We start from the raw sequence: 21,480 nt of genomic DNA on the forward strand, positions 1-21,480 counted from the left end.
GGAATTTGGTAGGGAATCCATCAGGTCCTGGGCTTTTCTTTGATGGGAGGCTTTTTATTATTGATTCAATCTCATTAGTCATCATTGGTCTGTTCAGGTTTTCTGTTTCTTCATGGTTCAATTTTGGTAGGTTGTACATGTCCAGAAATTTATCTGTTTCTTAAAGGCTTTCCAAATTGTTGGTGTACAGTTTTTTTGTCATAGTTTCTAACGATCCTATATATTTCTGTGGTATCGTTGTTAAGTCTCCTCTTAAATGTCTGATTTCCTTTATTTTGGTCTTCTCTCTTTTTTCCTCCTAGTTAGTCTAGCTAAAAGTCTGTTAATTTTGTTATCTTTTCAAAAACTCAACTTTTCGTTTTGTTGATTTGTGTGTGTGTGTGTGTGTGTGTGTGTTTTAGTCTCAATTTCATTTATTTCTGCTCTGATCTTTATTTCTTTCCTTTCACTAATTTTGGGTTTGATTTCTCCTTGCTTTTCTAGTACCTTGAGATGCACTATTAGGTTGTTTGAGCTCTTTCTGTTTTTCTGATGTAGGCCTTTATTTGCTATAAACATTTCCCTTAGTGCTGCTTTTGTTATAGCCCATAGATTTTCATATGTTGGTTTCAATTTTCATTTGTTTCAGGAACTTTTAAAATTTTCCTCTTAATTTCTTCATTGACCCATTGGTCATTCAGGAGCATGTTGTTTAATTTCCATGTTTGTATAATTTCCAAGTTTTCTCTTGTTATTGATTTCTAGTTTTATTCCATTGTCATCAGAAAAAATACTTGATATGATTTCAAATTTTTAAAATTTGTTTTGTGGCCTAACACGTACTATATTCTGGAGACTATTCCATGTGCTGATGAGCAAAATGTGTATTCTGCAGCAGTTGGGTAAAATATTCTGTAAATGTCAGTTAGGTCCATTTGGTCTAGTGTGTAGCTTAATTCTCATGTTTCTTTGTTGATTTTCTGTCTGGATGATCTGTCCACTACTGAGAATGGGGTGTTGAAGCTACCTACTATTATTGTATTGCAGTATATCTCTCCCTTTAGGTTGATTTAATGTCTGCTTTATATTTGGGTGCTCTGATGTTGGTTTCAGATATATTTATAATTATTATATTATCTTGCTGAATTGACCCCTTTATCATTATATAGTAGCCTTTTTGGGTTCTTTTTTTTTTACAATCCTTGGTTTGTAGTCTTTTTTTTTTTTGAGATGGAGTCTTGCTCTGTCACCCAGGCTGGAGTGCAGTGGTGTGATCTCGGCTCACTACAGCCACCACCACCCAGGTTCAAGCGAGTGTCCTGCCTCAGCCTCTCAAGTAGCTGGGACTACAGGCATCTGCCACCGCATCTGGCTAATTTTTGTATTTTTAGTAGAGGCGGGGTTTCAACATGTTGGCCAAGCTGGTCTTGAACTCCTGACCTCAAATGATCCACGCACCTTGGCCTCCCAAAGTGCTGGGATTACAGGCGTGAGCCACTGCACCTGGCCAGTTTGTAGTCTATTTTATCTAATAGAAGTATACATATTCCTGTCCTTTTTTTCCATTTGCATGGAATATCTTATTCCATTCCTTTCTTTAAGTCCATGTGTGTCTTTATAGGTGAAACTGGCTTCCTGTAGGCAGCATATGGTTGGATCTTTTAATTTTTAAAATCCATTCAGCCACTCTCTATCACTTAATTGGAGAATTAAGTCCATTTACATAAAATGTTATTTTTGATAGGTAAGAATGTACTACTGCCATTTACATTTTTTTTTCTGGTTGTTTGTAATTTCTTCCTTTCTTATACTCTTCCTTTGTGTTTAGGTGATTTTCTCTGGCAATATATTTTAATTAATTGCTTTTTTATTTTTAGTATATCTATCATAGGTTGTTGCTTTATGGTTATCATGAGGCTTACAACAAGTCATATAAGTTATTTTAAAAAGATGAGGACTTACCTTTGATCACAAAGAAAGGCATAGAAACAAAGGAAAAACTAAAACAACTACACTTTATCTCCCCCACATTTTGACTTTTTGTTGTCTCAATTTACATCTTTTTATATTACTTGTCTCTTAACAATCTGCTGTAGTTACTGTTAATTTTGATAGTCTTTTAGTCTTACTAGAGATATGAGTGGATTACACACCACAATTACAGTATTAGAGTAATTTGGCTTTGTCTGTATGCTTACTTTTATCAGTGGCTTTTAGATCTTTAAATGTTTTCTTTCTGCATGTTAGTGTCTTTTTCTTTCAGACTGAAGAACTCCCTTTAGCATTTCTTGTTAGATGGGTCTGGCAGTGATGAATTCCCTCAAATTTTGTTTGTCTGGGAAACACTTTATCTCTTCTTCATGTTTGAAGTTCAGCTTTGTTGCGTGCAGTATTCTTGGTTGACAGGTTTTTTTTTTTTTTTTCCTTTCAGAACTTAATAAATATGTTTTTCTACTACCTCCTGGCCTGTATGGTTTCCTTTGATAAGTCTGTTACCAAACTGGAGCTCCATTATATGTTATTTGCTTCTTTTCTCTTGTTGCTTTTAGAATCCCATTGCTGTCCTTGACTTTTGAGAGTTTATTATATACCTTGGGATAGTCTTATTTGGGTTGAATCTGTTTGGTGATCTCTAACCTTCCTATACTTGGATATTTTTATCTTTCTCTAGGTTTGAAATGTTTTCTGTTATTATTTATTTGAATAAGGCTTCTACCCTTTCTCAACTCCCTCTTGAATACCAATGATTCTTAGACTTGCTCTTCTGAGGTAATTTTCTATATATTGTAGGTATTCTTCATTCCTTTTCATTCTTTTTTTTCCCTCTGACTGTGTATTTTCAAATAGCTTGCCTTCAAGCTGATTCTTTCCTCTGTTTGATCCATTTTGCTGTTAAGAACCTCTAATGTATTTTTCTATCCAGCAAATGTATTTACCAGTTCCAGGATTTGATTTTTAGAAGTTATTTCAATATCTTTGTTAAAAATTTCTCTGACAAATTTCAAAGTTGCTTTCCTGTGTTATTTTGGAGTTTGCTGAGTTTCCTTAAAATTGCTATTTGGAATTATTGATCTGATGGCACACATGTTGCCATCTCATTAGTGTCAGTCACTGGCTTCTTGCTTTGTCTCATTGAGGTCACATTTCCTGTTTGCTGTTATTTCTTGTTGGTGTATGTCTATGTATTGTCATTGAAGAATTAGTTATTTATTCCAGTCTTTTCTGTTTGGATTGTTTTGGTTTCCTTTTGATATGTTTGCTTAGGGGTTCTTTACAATTTACCTGTTGAATTTCCTTTATTGCTAGGTAACTGCCTCCTTTTCAGTACTTTATGGAACCTTAAGCCCAGGTTTGCATTAGCTCTAGCAAATGTTTGGAGTGATGCCTGGCCCAATGGGGAAGGTCCCAAAGGGGATATCCCTGCTATGCAGGAAGGCTGGCTAGTGGTTTTTGCCCAGGGGACCTGTGGAGCCTGCCTTCTACAGTGTGGTGCTGCTGAACAGCCATTCTGACTTTGCATCTCTTTTGGCCAAGATACAGAGAAGAGTTTTGTGGGCTGGGGATGCTAGTCCTGCCTTTCCCTTTGTCTCTGGCTGCCCTAAAAGGTTTTTATCCTTACAGATACTCATGATGCTTCCTGTAGGTTGAGGCAGGGATAGTTCTCCTGCAAGGGAACCCAAGATGGGGAAGCTGGTTATTTACATTGATCTCACTTTTTCCAGGGTAGAAACCATGAGTCTGGGGGAGATTTTTTCCACACATGAGGTGCCTGGCAGATTGCGGGGAGGAGCACTGTGAATATAGAAGTCTGATTTTCTTACTATTGGCTCAGAATTTTTTTACCTCTCTGTGGCCCTGGAGGTCAAGTCATCCTTAAATCTGAGTTATGGGACATTGCTGGTGATAATCTTGGTGCTGGATATTCGTTTTTGATTTTCTGTTGGGGGGAGTGAAGCCAGGTTGCTTCTATTCTGACATTTTGGTGAGCTGCTTTTACTTTTAAATGTGTGTTTTTTTTCTAATTAACAAAGTAAAATTTGACTATTTTAGAAAATGAAGATGATTACAGACAAAAAAGAAATCTCCCAAAGCTCACACATTAAAACATCAGCTTTATTCAGACTTTGTGTATTTTCTTTCTTTCTTTTGTATGTGCATGGATGTGTGTATATACTTAGTTGAAGTATTTACACTTTAGTTGAAATCTATATACTTTAGAATTATACATATTATATGTATAACTATATGTATAATTCTATGTATAATTCTACATATTATATGTAGAATTCTATGTATAATTCTACATATTATATGTATAATTCTATGTATAATTCTACATATTATATGTATAATTCTATGTATAATTCTACATATTATATGTATAATTCTAGGTATAATTCTACATATTATATGTATAATTCTAGGTATAATTCTACATATTATATGTATAATTCTACATATTATATGTATAATTCTATGTATAATTCTACATATTATATGTATAATTCTATGTATAATTCTACATATTATATGTATAATTCTAAATCCTGAATTTTTACCTTGAGCATTTTCATGTAGTCAAAATTAGTCAGAAACATACTTTTTAATGCTGGCATATCACTACATTATACAGGGACATCATACATTATTTAACATTGTAATTATTTAACTAGATACATACTGTAAGAATACTAAAATAAGTTATTCCCAATTTTTTCGCTATTAAAAAGAACACTGTCAGGAACTTCTATGCACACACATCTCTATTTTTGGTGAGTATCTTAAAACAGAAATATAACTTAAGGATGAAGAATATAAATATCTTAACTATCCTGTGGCAACTTGCCAACTGGCTTTCAGAAAGGCTGAGTCCATTTAACTCCTTGTGTTAAGAATGAGCATCTCATCACTACCTTGTCAATAATTATAATTTTAAAAACTTTTAATATTTTGCTAATAAGACAGACACCACTTACCCCATTTCACTAATTCTAAGATGTACATTTTTCATAGTTTAGCATATCTGAAATTAGGGATGGGTGTGTATTACACTCAAGGTTGTGTTTTGGCTTATTTGGCAGCACTTTTTTTTCTTAATGGCACCTAAAAATAATGATGCATCTTACAATTGATGATATCTTAAAGATTCAATGAAATTACAGTAGAATCTCATGTAATTTTTATTTTGTATTTTTGACCACTAGCTAAGAGCCATGATTTATACAGAACCATTTCAATGTGCGAGTGAACTTTTTAAAACAAATTTAACTGTGGTAAAAGAACATAATATAAAACATACCAGTCTAACTATTTTTCAGTGTGCCATTAAGTAGTGTTAACTATAATCACATTATTGGGCAACAGATCTCTAGAACTTTTTCATCTTGAAAATGGAAACTCTGTACCCATTAAGCAACAACTCCCCTTTTCTCCTTCCCCCAGTCCCTGACAACCACCACCTACTTTCTGCCCTCATGAGTTTGACTACTTTAGATAGTGCATATAGGTGAAATCATACAGTATTTGTCTTTTTGTGACTAGCTTATTTCACTTAGCATAATGTCCTTCAGGTTTATGCATGTTGCAGCACGTGTCAGAATTTCCTTCTCTTTTATAGCTGAATAATATTCCACCCAGTGAATTTCTAAATCATAAAAATTTATAACAACTTGCAGAAATTGCTGACCCATTGGATTCTGACAGCACACCTAAACAACTAAAAAGCAAAGGACAGGCTGGGTCCCAAGGGGTTCCAATTTCCAAAAACAAATGTTGGCTTATTTTTGAAACACAAAGATCAAACAGAAATTAAGAATGTAGGTGATAAAATCAAGATATTTTTGAAATCATATCTGCTCTTCTGGTGTTATTTCTTATGTTTTTTAAGGCAGTAAGCTTGGATATCACAACTTGAGAGTTTACAAACACAGATATGGTAAGACCATGCCCTTCCACCAGGAAACTAGGCAGTTCCAAGTTTCTGGAACATGGACTTGAATTCTTTCCTCAAGCAAAATAATTATGGTGAACAACAAAGGCTGTGTGGAGAGGCCATGACTGCAGATGAAGCAATGCAGGATGAGGGGCCAGGGTAAAATGTAAACTATTCTAAAACTAAACGAACTTGCCGTGTCATTTAGAATGTGCCATTATAAAACTGATGAATATTACATGGCAATATCCTGAAAATTGAACTAAATTATATTTTAGTTATACTTAATACCACTGGCAAAACCTTTTAATTTATTTTAAATCCTAAAATCCCCAAAAAGAAAACTGAATATTTATACAAGAAGACTTAATTAAAATATGGCTTAAATGGTTAGGTTTATGGTTGATCATAGAACAAAAGGATTTAAAGTATCAACCACATAGTGGTGACCACTTTATTTATTTTCCCTGAAAGTGAAAAGAGGAAGGCAGTATTAGAAATTAACACTTAAACCTAAAAAGAAGATTAAAAAGAAAACCATATCCTCACATTGGTTAAAATGTCGTATTTGTTTTACTTCTTATGTTATTCTCTGACATTTCTACTGTGTCTGCTTTTATAAATAGACAGAAAAGAATCCCGATTTTTGTCCTACCTGACATATATATTTGTTAAGTACACAGAATTGGCAAAATGTATTTCAAATTGACTATTATTTGATGAAGGTACAATTTTAAAAGCTACAAATTATTTAAGTCATGATTCATGTCTTTTCCCCCTCTGACATAATTTTGAACATGCATTTTATCTGTAATTTTTTAGACATAAAACACATGTTTATTGCAGAAAGATGTAAGCTAAGCAAAAATTAAAAAACAATCATGGTGTTCATATTTTACATTTCACAAAATATGTAGAAACTCTAAAACATCACTTCTAAAGATACATAATAGGATATTTTAACTAATTATTTATGGGCACCAATTTCTTACAACTCTAAAGCTATACTAATATGAATATCTGTATATTGTATACTTTGCTCATATTCTTGGCTTTTTTTTTTTTTGTAGCAAAGAAATTCCAAGGGTTGGCACTACTGGGAAAAAAGGTGTGTTTGTCATGAGACAAACTGAACTTAGAAAGGCGGGCAATGAAACCCTCAGTAGCAGTCCCTGAGACTGTACTTGCCCTTGGGTCCCTGCCCAAACTGAGTCTCATCCTTACTGGGTCTCTTTTCTTTCGTTAGCATGGATTTTTAAAAGCGATTTAAGTTTCCTTATGGGCACTGTGCTGTAGGCGGAAACTCCCCCTTCTCAGCCCCCATTCCTTGGTGCCTCCTTCCCGACCTGCGTCGTGATCTGAGGGTTCTTCCTGCCTTATTTGGGGCCCTCCCTTTATTCTTTACAGACATTCTCCTACTAAATCTCTTGCATGCCTAATTCCATGCATGCTCTCACAGGACCCAAACTAACAGAAGGACTTTGAAAATCTTTTCAGCATTTGCTACATGGTTGTTTTATTAAGGTTTCTTCTCCTTTGGTCAGTTTCACTATTCATACTTCCCTAGACAGTTTTCTCTCTTCAATATTTTCTATTTTATGACCACAGTTGTTCATGACATCACCTAATAGTTTTTAACCTGCTAGTGCCTGTGGTCACTGTATACTGTGTATATGACTACATATATATATGTCATATATATGTATGTATATATATATAATATACATCATGTGTTTGTAAATATACATATACACATACATACATATTTGTCATACATTTGTATTTTCTTCTTTTCTTGATTAGCCTCACCAGGGCTCTGTATGTTATTAGCGTTTTCAAAGACTGAGTCATTGTATTTATCAATGTTCCTGTTTCAACATTTTTACCTGGGCACTGGATGGGGGTATCAAGCCAAGTAGCTCACCAGAATACACCTTAGGTCAATGCTGGAATGAGGCCCCAAAGGGCTTTGTTTCTTTTCTTTTTAAAATTACAATGTCCTTTAATGAAAACTGAGCAGGTCAACAAAGCCCCACTAGGACTGACTGGTCCCCTTCTCTGGTCATAATGAGCTTTGCAAAGAATTGGCTTCAGGGGGTTTGAGAGCTGCCTCCAAGTGCTTAAGGGATTGTCACATGAAAGGGAAAGAGGACACATTCCAAGCTACTGCAGGGACAGAGCCCAGCCTGGCAGTGGGATCTGCAGGAAGGCCAATTGCAGTTCAATGAAAGAGAATGGGCTCCTGTGGGAGGCAGAGGTTCTGTTTTCAGGAGGGGCTCGGGCAGAGGAGTCAGCCTTCCTCAGAGGCCATGCACTCGATGAGGCAAAGCATGCAGAAACATCTCTAGCAGCAGACAGACTCTAAGATGGTCCCAGTGACCCCGCCTCCTGGTCTTCTTCCCTCATGTAATACCTTCCCCTTGAGTGTGGGTGGCCCCTATAACTTGCTTCTAACCAATATGATAGGGCAAAGGTGATGGGATGCCACTTCTGTGATCATTTGCATAAGATTCTGAGCAGCCCCCCTCTCCCTGCTGGCTTAGACGAAGCCAGCTGCCATATGGAGAAGCACACATGGCATGGAGCTGGGGGCTGCCTACAGCTAACAGCTGGCATGAACTGTGGCCCAGGATCTGATGCCCTACAGGGAACAGAATCCTGCCAGCAACCACACAAGCTTGCAAGCAGGCCCTTCCGCAGTTGATCCTCAGTTGAGACCTCAGCCCTGGCTGACACCTTGACTGCAGCCTTGTGAGATCTGGAGGGGAGGACCTAGTTAAGGTGTACCCAGATTCCTGGCCCTGAGAAACTGTGAGACAACAAATTGGTGTTTTAAGCTACTAAGTTTGTGGTAACATTGTTATGTGACAATAGATAACTAATCCACCTAATCCACCTTTCCATCTCTATGATTCAGTAATCACCAGCACCAGAAAAAAAAAAAAGCCAGCTGTATCAATGCAAACCCACTGTTGTGACCGCCCATCCTAATATAGTGGTGTGCACTGCTGACATCAGACAGGAATAGCAGATTGTGACGGCTCCTAGCCTGTTTCCACATCTACAGCATTCTGCATCTTGCACAGAAATGTATAAATGGATATAACCCTGATCTCTTCAGATCTCCCTGGGCAGGCTTCTGTACCATATGGGTGACTCCATTCCATTAAATCATTTATTTTTCTTTCTTTCTTCCCTCAAAAACTCTCAGAAGAAGACACAGTCTCACATATTCTATTGTCTTTAAGAAAACCAGATGCTATCTCTTAAAAAAAACTTACCATACCCAGGAAGATCATCTCCTCTTCTCTCAGTTTTTCAGTTTCCTTACGTTGATGGAAACGTCGCCAAACCTAAAAACAAATAAATGGTTACTTGTTTAATACATACAAATATAAAGAAAACATGGCTTGCAGTTTCTCCCATATAAACTGCACATCTCAAAATGCCAACTAATCCTAAGCTCTAGGCTGTCCATGTGTGTGCTGATGGAATATTTTTTCTTCTGTGATCACAGGCAAAAACATTGTTAAAAAGAATGAACCACAGAACTAACCTATAATTGTTATTAGTGAGATTCCTTTACCTTGGTTTCTTCAAGAGGAACATTCTAGGTAGCAGGAATGTGAGGCTAGATCTAAGGACGGCACTTCATGGTTTTAAAGGAAAAATTTCCAAAGTAATGTGGGGAAATATAGTAACCTCCAAGAAATGTACAACTCAAGCTTTTAACTCAGATGCTACAACTTTATATTCCCACAGAAACCCGAAAGAAAACAGACTCTTATCCATCCTTCCCCATCACCTTCTCCTATTCCTATTCAGGGAAAATTAGGGACAGAGTCCTCATCTTCTGGCCTAATTTTATGTCCTTATACTTATTTTCTCTGAAACCTAATGCTAGTTTATATCACCTTGCCATCTGCTGTGTTTCCCTGTAAGTAACCCTAGCCTCTATTTGAAAAAAAAAATGGGGCACAAATCCATGGTGCTTATCTGATAAGGAAAGAAAACCTTACGGATTCCTTCTAGAAGGGACACTGATGTGCTGGTTATTAGTGATGGCTGCTGCATGTTTCTGGAATCTATTAAGGCCTGGTCCCTCTTCTGTAATTATATATCTGTGTGTGAATGTATTCCAAAAATCCATTAAGGATTTATATCCTCACTGCATTTCAGCAACATTCATTTCAACAATTACCAATGGTCTTTAACAATATTTGAATAAAATGCCCTGAGTTTAGTACCTATTTAGAGTAAAAATTTGAAAATATGACCAAGCTTAGTTAATGGTTTCCCCAGGGTAAGTTAATAAATCTTTCTGGAATGTAATCTAGTTCTATTAAGGGTAGGATTTGGTGTTTGAGTTTTGAAGCTCAGCCCCAAAATTGAGATGTATCTTTAGTGTATAAGGCACCTTGTACCCCAACTCCAGGAGCCCTAGGTTTGCACCTTCTGAATGCGGAGTGCAGCAGCCCAGGTATCTGTCACTTTCTTGCCAAGCATCTTGGATTGCTTTGCTCTATATTCTTGCAGATAGATTTGCTTCATGAATAAAGCCCTTAGGCGACCTTGCCGTGCCCTCTCAGCAATCTGGATTAATTTAACAGCCTCATCGAAAGGGATACTCTTTACAGGGTATTTCTGCAAAAAACAGTCAAGATAAACCAATGTTTGAACATGTTAACCACATCAATTGATCCCAGACACATCACATGCTTACTTCAAACACAATCCTGCTAAGGGTCCCCACGGCTGATCATGAGTGTGAGAACCGCTGAACACTGTTCATTTTTCCAGTGAATGATGTATATTTTGATAACATGACATGCTCATGCTGTGATCCCAAATTTAAGGGCCCCCTGACTTTCCTTTATCCTTCTGAACAAAATACTAATTAGCTCCACGATATTTTAGGTTGGCAGCAAATTATACTAAAAATGTCAATAAAATTGATTCAGTAAAACTTGAAATTGCTATCAATATTTCATTAACTTAATAGGAGAAACAGAGAAATGAAAAACCTACCTCTAATATGAGCTTTTAAAATTTAAAATATATATGAAGTAAAATGCTGATCTTAAAATCAAGTACAGAATGCCCAGTGAATACAACTAATATCGAAATCATTTTGGGGGCATTTAATTTTATATATGAAAAGTCTTCCAGTGTCTATAAACTTGCATCTTAAAACATTCAAACATGATGAGTACTAGTAAAACAGAAAAATCAGGGCTGGTAAGTAAAATGTTGTTTTGGGAGATCTCACATGGTGTATGTGGAGACAAAGTTAGGCGAGGGGCTGTGTCATTTTTTGAGGAAAGAGGGACAAGAACAAAGGGCTCCGGGTGCATGCTGGGGCCTGTGTGGGCTCTGGGTGCAGGTGAGGCCTGTGTGGGCTCCAGGTACATGCTGGGACCTGTGTGGGCTCCGGGTGCATGCTGGGGCCTGTGTGGGCTCTGGGTGCAGGTGAGGCCTGTGTGAGCTCCGGGTGCATGCTGAGGCCTTTATGGGCTCCGGGTGCATGCTGGGGCCTGTGTGGGCTCTGGGTGCAGGTGAGGCCTGTGTGGGCTCTGGGTGCATGCTGGGGCCTTTATGGGCTCCGGGTGCATGCTGGGGCCTGTGTGGGCTCTGGGTGTATGCTGGGGCCTGTATGAGCTCCGGGTGCAGGTGAGGCCTGTGTGGGCTCCGGGTGCAGGTGAGGCCTGTGTGGGCTCTGGGTGCATACTGGGGCCTGTGTGGGCTCTGGGTGCATGCTGGGGCCTGTGTGGGCTCTGGGTGCATGCTGGGGCCTGTGTGGGCTCCGGGTACATGCTGGGGCCTGTGTGGGCTCTGGGTGCAGGTGAGGCCTGTGTGGGCTCTGGGTGCATGCTGGGGCCTGTGTGGGCTCTGGGTGCATGCTGGGGCCTATGTGGGCTCCGGGTGCAGCTGAGGCCTGTGTGAACTCTGAGCAGGCTCAATGGGAGGCCCCAGTGCTGTTCCAGAGGCCCCAGAGCAAGGGAACAGGGGCTCATGTGGCCTGGCTTGGGGGGTGTCCATGCATGGATGGAAGCAGAAGGGACAGATCACTGGAGTCAGAAAAGCACCAAAGAGGCCAGGCACAGTGGCTCACACCTGTAATCCCAGCACTTTGGGATGCCGAGGTGGGAGGATTACTTGAGTCCAGGAATTTTAAGACCAGGCTGGGCAAAGCGGTGAGACCCCGTCTCTAAAAAAATTTTTTTTAAATTAGTGGAGTGTTGTGGGACACACCTGCAGTCCCAGCCACTTGGGAAGCTGGGGCGAGAGGATCACTTGAGCCCAGAAATTGGAGGCTACAATAAGCTATGATCATGCCACTGCATTGTGGCTTGGGCAACAGAGTGAGATTCTGTCTCTAAAAAGAATTTAAAAATAAATTTAAAAAGAAAAGCACCAAAGCATAGGTGAAGCCTGTTTCCAGGCCTCAGAGGGCAGCAATGGTTGCCACAGTAGGACAATGTGAAGGTGCTGAGGCTTCATGTGTGGGGCGCTGCCACCAGGGCCACTGCTGCCAGGATGATCCCTCTTCTGTGCAACAAGGCCAGGGTCAGGGGCACAGGAAGGAGTGAGAAGGAGAGGAAAGGCACATGTATACTGAGAACCTGCAGATGTCAGATGCTTTTTTTATGCATGCTCATCACATTCACAAGAGCAAACTCCAAGGCTGGTGTTACTGTGACCACTTAAGAGTGAAGACAACTGAGGATCAAAGAAGTAAGGTAACTTATGCAAGGCCCCGTGGGTAAGAAGAGAAGGAGCCAATTTGAACAGACTGACCGTCTTTCCACTAAGCAACCCACTACCCTTCAACATGGCACAAGGAATATGATTGCTTATGAGGAAGCTCTTTCACATAACAATCCCTCTGAGTTTGTTTTCAGTAAGATTTCACCGCTTCAAATTTGCAGTGAGCACACATTTTCAATAATGCACTTGTCAAGTTAGAGTAGAACGAGTATCATTCTGGCATTAAATGAGATGATGAACTTAGCATACAGTACCCAGCAAACATGAGTTAGTATCGTATTTCTTTCCTTTAGATTCCGGGCTGTCATTCTGAAAATAGTCGTGGCCATTATCAAATAATTCTAAGGGATTTTGAGTAGGGAACTCAACATGTCAAACATTTTTAAGCATTTAAGGAGGCCCACAGTGGATATTAATGTAGGAGATGGACAATAATTTTCATGCATCAAAATTCTTCTTGGGTTATATATATTGTGTGTGTGTCTGCATGCGTGTGTGTGTATATATATACATATACACATATATACATGTCTCATAAGACCCCTTTAAGCTGCTTATATACAGTACGTATCCCAAGAAGAATATATTGTGTGTGTGTGTGTATATATATGTGTATATATATGAGTGTGTATATATATGTGTGTATATATGTGTATATATATACAGTATATACCCCAAGAATATATTGTGTGTATATATGTGTATATATATGTGTGTATATATATATACAGTATATATATATATACACACAGTATATACCCCAAGAAGAATATATACTCTGTGTGTGTGTGTATATATATACAGTGTGTATATATATATATATACAGTATATATATACACACAGTATATATATATATATATATATACACACAGTATATATATATATATATATATATACACACAGTATATATATATATATATATATACACAGTATATATATATATATATATATATATACACACAGTATATAAGCAGCTTAAAGAAAGGGGTCTTATGAGACACCAAAGGCCATGGGGAAGTCGCAGCAGGGAAGTCCTTGTGGTTTTCTGAGCCCCTGGCACATGTGAAATGAGACTGGGGTGGAGATGAAGTACTTAACCCAGTGGAGGTGATAGGGGCTGGCCAAAGCTGGATGCTGAAGGAACACAGAAGCCTGTCTGCTCTGACTGAGAACAAATGAAGAGGAACAGTGAGCAGGACAAATGGCAAAGAGGAATTTTTAGGATTTCACTGTAGTGAGTGCAACGTAATCTCCCTTCTCCATTTTCCAACACAAAATCTTTAGTAATTCTGCAGTGCTCATCACTGCTTGGTGCAAAGGGATTCCTTTCAGGGAATGAAGTGTGAGTGCTTCGCTCTGACTGATGCATGGACAGAAAGCACAGACATAGGAGCCCAGTGGTGAAAGGATGGCTAGTTGACCCCCAAGTAAGTTGGCTTTGGAATGGACTTCAAGGAATTCATAATGTAAAAGAAGGGCCAGTAGCTGGGAGCAGGGGCACAGGAAGGAGAGGTCATCTTGAGTTAAATGGGTGCTATGGTTTAAACGTGTCCCACAAACTTCATGTGCTAGAAACTTAGTCCCCAATGCAACAGTGTTGGGATGTGGGACTTTTAAGAGGTGATAAGGTCATGAGGCCTCTGTCCTCAAAATGAATTAATACTGTTATCGGGGGAATAGCTTCCTGCTAAAAGGATGAGCTCACCGCCTTACTTCTTGCTCTCTTACTATGTGATTCCTTCTGCCATGTTATGACACTGCAAGAAGGCCCTTACCAGATGCAACTCCTCAATACTGGACTTCCAAGCCTCCAGAACCATAAGCAAAATAAACTTCTGTTGTCTTTAAATTACCCAGTCTGTGGTATTCTGTTATACCAGCACAAAATGGACTAAGCCAGTATGTCAGGAAAGGTTTCTTGAAGGATGGTGTATCAAGTTAGGCTCCGCAGAATGGGTACCATTTTGATGAGCAGGTATGTAAGGGAGAAGAACAAGCCCTCTATCCAGCAGGGAACATGCCTATGGGAAATGAGAGACAGCACTGGGCTGGCAAATACAGGGCATGCATTTCACCTCTCTTCTGAGGCAGGCACACAGGGCACTTTTTTCTCCTGCCATCCTCAGCATACACTTGGAATCTTCCTTAACACCATCACCCAGGCTGGCAATACCCAATGAGGGCTATTTGTAGAAAGACTGCAGGTGCTGGTTTACCCTGGGACCCTGGCCTGCAGTTGCAGCCTCAGCATAGTTACTCATAGTGCCCCTTTCACCCTGGAGTGTCCCAGCTTGAATGGACAAGTGCTGCCTTACAGCTTAGGACATGAAGGCCAGCCAGAAGGGTGAGGCAGTAAGTTACTGAAATGTATAGGCAGATCTGCCATCCTGCCAGAAGGTAGATAGGGCAGTGCCCTGTGGAAAGGGTGGGAAGAAGACTCCCCACCAGTAGGCTGCATGGGGGATGACTGCAAGAATCCAGGAGGTGGTCATGAGAGTCAGGCTAAGACAGCTGTGGAAACAGGAAAAAGATGCAGCTGCACAAATCCTGTGGACAAAGGAGGTATCGGGGCACAGAACTAAATGGATTCTGTTCCTTGCTTCCCAGGAGGGATCTTTATGGATTATTCTTCCCCCAATGACAGTCCATTCAAGGTGATCCAAGTGTCACTCAATGTATTAGTCCGTTTTCACACTGCTGATAAAGACTTACCTGAGACTGGGCAATTTACAAAAGAAAGAGGTTTAATGGACTCACAGTTCCATGTGGCTAGGGAGGCCTCACAATCATGGCAGAAGGTGAAAGGCACATCTCATATGGCGGCAGACAAGACAGTTTGTGCAGGGAAACTCCCCTTTATAAAACCATCAGATCTTGTGAGATTTATTCACTATCACAAGAACGGCACAGGAAAGACCCACCTCCATGATTCAATTACCTCCCACCAGGTTCCTCCCACAACACATGGGAATTGTGGGAGCTACAGTTCAAGATGAGATTTGGGTGGGGACATAGTCAAACCATATCTACTCAACCTGCAATTATAAAAGGCCAATCAGCATTTTTAGAAAGTGTAGTAACTTTCAAGTTCCTAGTAAGTTATGTCAGCACTTAATTATTTTACATGAACAACATTTAGCTTCTGACTTCAGCTAGATGAATTTGAGATGAAACATTAAACTGCGTTGATAATCAACAGATACTGATTTAAGTAGCATATCTCAGTGTCTAAGCTCTTGATCTCAGTGTCTAAGCTCTTGAAAAATAATGATTATATATCACCAAAAGCACATCCAAAAGTTATGCAACTTCTTATGTACTGTATAACGAGGGAGGGATCATTCTCTGCTTAAACTGAAAATAATCTAAGTGTTGCTCACACAATTAGGAGCAGCAGAAAAAGGAAGTTACACAGATTATGGATTAATGTTTGTTAAAATGATATACAAACCATGTCAGATGTATCTATTCCGCTGTCCGCTAATATTTGAGCAAGAATTTTCTCTCTTCCTTTTATTACTTCCAACTTCTCCTTCAAAAAATACTTGGGTATGGGAATATCTAATTGTTGCTAGAGAAGAGAAAGAATAAAAAAGAGTATTTCCGTCACAATGCCAGGACTAGAACTTTATTTAAAATATACAGTAAGGACGTGCACATCAAAGACGCTTGCTTTACTTCCCATTTTCATTTAAGAAAAAAAAAATGAGGCCAGCGGAGTGAGGAGAATTCATTTACTAAAGAGACACAAAGTCAGAAAGAAAATCATAACCATGCCCCTTGCTTTAATCATTACAGAAAAGCATCAAGAGTTCACATCAATTAGGCCTCAATTAACTAATGATTACTTAATAGATTTCTTTAAAGAAATACAATATTACCTCGTTTTACCTAAAATAATGGTTCAAATTGCAGTAGTAAAGTATTAAGCTGTAGAGATCTTTGAATTAAACCTAATAATTTATCATTAGCACCGACTATTTGTATGTAAATAGTCACATTTTTTTCTAGTAATTTGGTTTTATTTTTACCAAAATTACCCCATTGCAAAAATTATTTACAAAAGTAGTTTGCTTTATTGTGAAACTTGTTTTTATATAATAAACTTCTATCCTTCATTTGTGCATGTTACCAAATATTTCAAACCAGTGGGGGTTCAGATGAAAATTTATCAGTTCAAATTGAGTAAAAAGGAGTACAGAAGTGCTATTTAAGGATATGGGTATGCCCTTGGCCAATCCCACTGAGAAACATTATCCTAGAATTTCTGTCAGACCTGCCTGGCTGTTTTGACAGGAAAGCAAAGGTCTTTGTTTTCAGAATTGGCTACCTTATTTTTTTTTCCAATTCTAGGTGTGACTCCCCATAACCTCCCTCCAGCCCAGAGAATTTTGGATAGGCCTTCCCCTAAGTAAACATTTAAGCCTAAGAGGGTATCATTTTTAGGACCTGGTGGGACAGTATCCCCATGACTTCTGGGAGGTGACAATGTCTTTTGAACACCAAACCTTTCTGAGGCTCATGGAGTGCTGGGGGTGACGGGAGAGTGAACTAGCAGAGTCTAGTGGGTGGGTGTGGCCTGAGGAGAGAGGGCAGTAGGAGAAGAATGATGACACTTTGATTTAATGTGATTTTATTTATTAACAAGCACATTCAAGTGTGGTACTTTTATAACTTTGAAGACAAAACCTCATTGTCTTATAGCTCCATCTGGTCCATTTGGTACCACAAAATTATAGTTAGCAGGCAGGCGTGGTGGCTCATGCCTGTAATCCCAGCACTTGGGGAGGCTGAGGCAGGTGGATCACCTGAGGTCAGGAGTTCGAGACCAGCCTGGTCAACATGGTGAAACCCCATCTCTACTAAAAATACAAAAATTAGCCGGGTGTGGTGGCATGCACCTGTAATCCCAGCTACTTGGGAGGCTGAGGCAGGAGAATTGCTTGAACCCAGGAGGCGGAGGTTGCAGTGAGCTGAGCTTGCACCATTGCACTCCAGCCTGGGCAAGAACAGCAAAACTCCATCTAAAAAAAAATTATAGTTAGGATTTTGAGGATGAGAAAACAGAGTAACTGAGAATGGAAGAGAAGCAAAGAGAGATATTGGTTGCTCCATCTATGTCCATGATGCGTTTCATGTCCATCCCTGAAACCTTGAGGTTTCTCATTCCCTATGGAGTGGAATCTAGGAAACTTCTGGTGGTAGAGAAAGCCTCTTCCCCACCATATATGTCTCTCTATGAGGTGGGCCCATTAGGAAAGGTTCCTCACATGGCAGGTTACAGACATAGTCTTCGGACTAAGGGGCAGTTTAAGGAAGGATTTGGGGAACTCATGGAACCAAGGGCAGGAACCCAGCTGGGTGTTTGTCAGTACCAGGGTTGTGGCCAAGAATGAAGATGCCTTCAGCCCACCCCAACCAACCATGTGGGATTCAGTGACAGCACATGGTTCAGTCACTATTTCTAGGACTGCTAGGAAACACTGTTGACCGCCCTCTGCACGAAGGCTTCCTGGATGCCATCTGCTCATTTGTCACTGCTCTTGGTGCTTGGTGGCCCCATCCCCACGGCAACAATGGCATGTCCTTTAGGAAGATGATGTCCCTGGAGCAGAGGGGCCTGGCTGATGCAGCAGGAAAGGCAAGGCCGTGGAGTAGCCGCCACATAGAGCCCCAAATGCGCTATTCCTTAACAACAGGGGCATGACTTCCTATTCTTGAAATTCAACTAATAAATGTAATATTCATTAATTAAATTTAGGAATATGATTTAATAACTATTTGTTTCACAGTTATCCTAAATTGTTCATATTGTCACTTTAGTGAGTAAAGTGCACCAGATTAAATCTGGTGATTGGCCCATGCTCTTATAGATGAATGCAATAAACATAAAACTTTTAGAATAATCATCAACATTTTCATTCATTTCAGTTATTCTCATTACTCCATTCTGATAAAATAATAATGTGAGGAAAGCCTATCTCAGAAAGAAAGGTACCTCTATAAAAGCCCAAATATTTTCAAGGAGAAGAAACGTGAAACCCTCATGTAGAAAATTAAAGACTTTCTCCTTTCGATTTTACTTCAAGGAAATGTTCCTTTCAAAATGAAGGTGAGCTCCCAGGACCATGACACTGAGGGGAGGTGGCCAGTGGCCCCGGCAGCCCAGCCAGCCTGAGTCAGAAGAGAGGCCCTGTGCTCGGCAGGAACGTCGGAGGGCAGCAGCAGGGGCCGAATGCTCGCAGGAGGGGGCTGTGGTTGCCAGGCGCCAGCAGCAAGGGCTCCAGGGAGAGAGGGAAGGAAGGGAAGAGAAGCAGAGGGAAAGAGGGAGAGCAAGCACATGAGCTCTCCTTTGATGTCTGAGGCCCACTGCCATGTAAGCCATACATTCCCCTGGGTCACCACTGACCCAAAGTAAGGAGGAGATGCATCCACTTGGCAATAGGGAACCTGTGACCAACAGGCTACAGAGAGATTCCATGGAAACAGAGGAGCGGGCGCTGCTACTGGATGCTGGGAGGGTCTGTGTTTCAAGGGTGCTGATGAAAGGGCTGGCCCACTGCATTCCAACAGCCCTGGGCAGACACTACGATGTCAGGTAAGACCACAGCCACGACAGTGCCTAACACAGCCAAGAAGTGTGCAGATGCATCTGCACCAGAAAGAAAGGGAGCCCAATCCTTGTCCGTGACAGCATGGTGTAATTGAAGGCAAATGTTTAGATTTTCCGTACACCAACTAGTAAACACGGACAGGAAGTCTGTAGAGTATCGTGTACAGATATCGGGTACATATCTTATTTATAACAAAAAAAAGCAACTAATAAGAAAACAACAGAGTGCTTACGGGGGCCAGCTTGAGATCCTGCAGGATATCATCGAAATAATGGAACTCCGTGAGTTCCAGCTCCACCATCTCGTTCTTCAGCTCCAGGATGCGGCCCATCACCCCGTCCAGGACTTTCCTGATCAGTATTCGTTTCTGGGGGTGGACGAACTGGTCGTAGACATTCTCTAGGTTTCTAAAGATCTGCACATACTTTACGTAGAAGGTGGCTAATGTTTGAAAGATGAAAACCTGATTTCTTTGTGGTTCAATCATCTTCTGAGGCTCTTTATCGAGTAAAGCACCGAGGGCTTCTTGGGTCTGATGCCACATCTTATTATACATTCTGGGGGAAGAGAGAGAATTTAGATGATACAGTAAATAAAAATCACTTGGTAAAACATAAACATCGGGCCTCTGGTATAGCAAAATATAACACAGAATCAAGTGTGAGCTAAGAATATAGTTATATAGTTGCAAGGCTTGATAGACAATTTATATCCTGTTCTGATGTCCTTCTGATTTCTGAATATGTACCACCACTATTATCATCAAATAAATAGTTTAAAAAGCATTTTGTCTAAATGATATAAAGTTGTTCCTCACTTGGCCCATAAAGCCACTATTATTATACCCATTTAAAAGATGACAAAGTTGATATCCAGAATAGTTAACTTATTTGTCCATATACACAGCTGGTGAAGTATATTTTGGAACAACCAGTTTGGAAAGTAATGTAGCATTTTCTTATTAAGTTGAACGTGTGCATACCCTGTGAATGAATAATTATACCCTAGAGAAACTTGTAAATATGCATCAAGAATGATCACTTGCATTTTTTAAATAATAGTAAAAACCTGTAGATAACATAAATGTCCACCAGTAAGAGAGTGGATAAATAAATTGTAGTATATACACCAATGGACTATCACACAGCAGTGAAAAATGAATGAATGAAGTACAGCAAAAGGCAACCACTAAGAATCTTAGAACCATGATGTACAGTGTGAGAAATGAGGTGCAGGCTGGGCGTGGTGAGGTGCAGGCCAGGCGTGGTGGCTCTCGCCTGTAATCCCAGCACTTTGGGAGGTCGAGGCAGGTGGATCACGAGGTCAGGAGATCGAGACCACCCTGGCCAACCCCGTCTCTACTAAAATACAAAAAAAAAAAAAAATTAGCCAGGCATAGTGGCGCCCGCCTGTAGTCCCAGTTACTCAGGAGGCTGAGGCAGGGGAATCACTTGAACCCGGGAGGTGGAGTTTGCAGTGACCCGAAATCATGCCGCTGCATTCTAGCCTGGCAACAGAGCGAGACTGTCTTAAAAAAAAAAAAAAAGAGTGAGGTGAGGTGCAGACTGTGGCCTGGGAGGCTGAGCTCTCTGGAATGCACCAGCTGGGCTCTCTGCCCTCATTCCAGTGAGTTGAGTTAGTGGACTGAACAAAGAGGAAGCCAGAGAGCAGAGGAGTATGACCCTCTTGTCCACACCCTGGCGAGGCAACAAAGGCTGGGTGTGCCCTTCCACCAAAGCCTTAAGGTGGTGGTGGCTCTGCTGTGGCTGGCCCCAGAATACTGCCCCATCCTTTGCCGGTTTCCCGAGACTATGTCCACATCTTTGTTACTGGTCCCTTTATTAGGCCCTCATGAGTGTCCCCGCTTTTCCTGCCAGAGCCAATACCTTCATGGTAGAGATTCCCACCTTCCCCTACCAAATTTCAGGTGATTTTTTTATTCTGCTTTTACATTCAAGAACCAGGACTGAAAAGTGAACTGGAAAGTCAGTGTGTCTGGGAAGGAGCTTCACTGTAGAAAGTGGGTGTGGAGAGCCCTGATCATTGATGAAGGAGAAATCGAAAAATGTCAGTATCTCTCTGTAAGGCCTTTCCCTATGCTAAGGGGAGGGGGCAGCCCTAATCCCCTGAAGGAGAAGCAAGCCGGTCAAGGGGGCTCACCTCTTGTTTACTGTCAGCCAGGCCAC

At 40.3% G+C, this 21,480-nt stretch overlaps 1 protein-coding gene across 10 annotated transcripts in view; it reads right to left on the reverse strand.

The window, feature by feature from the left end:
• Nucleotides 1–21,480, reverse strand: part of DRC11 (dynein regulatory complex subunit 11) — a 200,792-nt gene that overhangs the window by 170,952 nt on the left and 8,360 nt on the right. For all 10 annotated transcript variants that reach the window (XR_007081589.1, NR_073043.2, NM_001270584.2 and 7 more), the window contains exons 2-5: nucleotides 19,527–19,851; nucleotides 16,132–16,251; nucleotides 10,364–10,555; nucleotides 9,193–9,264 (exon numbers count right to left, since the gene is read on the reverse strand). Coding sequence is in view for 8 of the 10 variants with exons in the window: in NM_001270584.2 (NP_001257513.1) it covers nucleotides 9,193–9,264; nucleotides 10,364–10,555; nucleotides 16,132–16,251; nucleotides 19,527–19,851 (709 nt within the window). In the remaining 2 variants the exon portion in view is untranslated. The remainder of the gene's footprint in view (nucleotides 1–9,192; nucleotides 9,265–10,363; nucleotides 10,556–16,131; nucleotides 16,252–19,526; nucleotides 19,852–21,480) is intronic.

The sequence above is a fragment of the Homo sapiens genome, chromosome 2, assembly GCF_000001405.40.
Source record: "Homo sapiens chromosome 2, GRCh38.p14 Primary Assembly".
In the NCBI taxonomy this organism is placed as follows: Eukaryota; Metazoa; Chordata; class Mammalia; order Primates; family Hominidae; genus Homo; species Homo sapiens.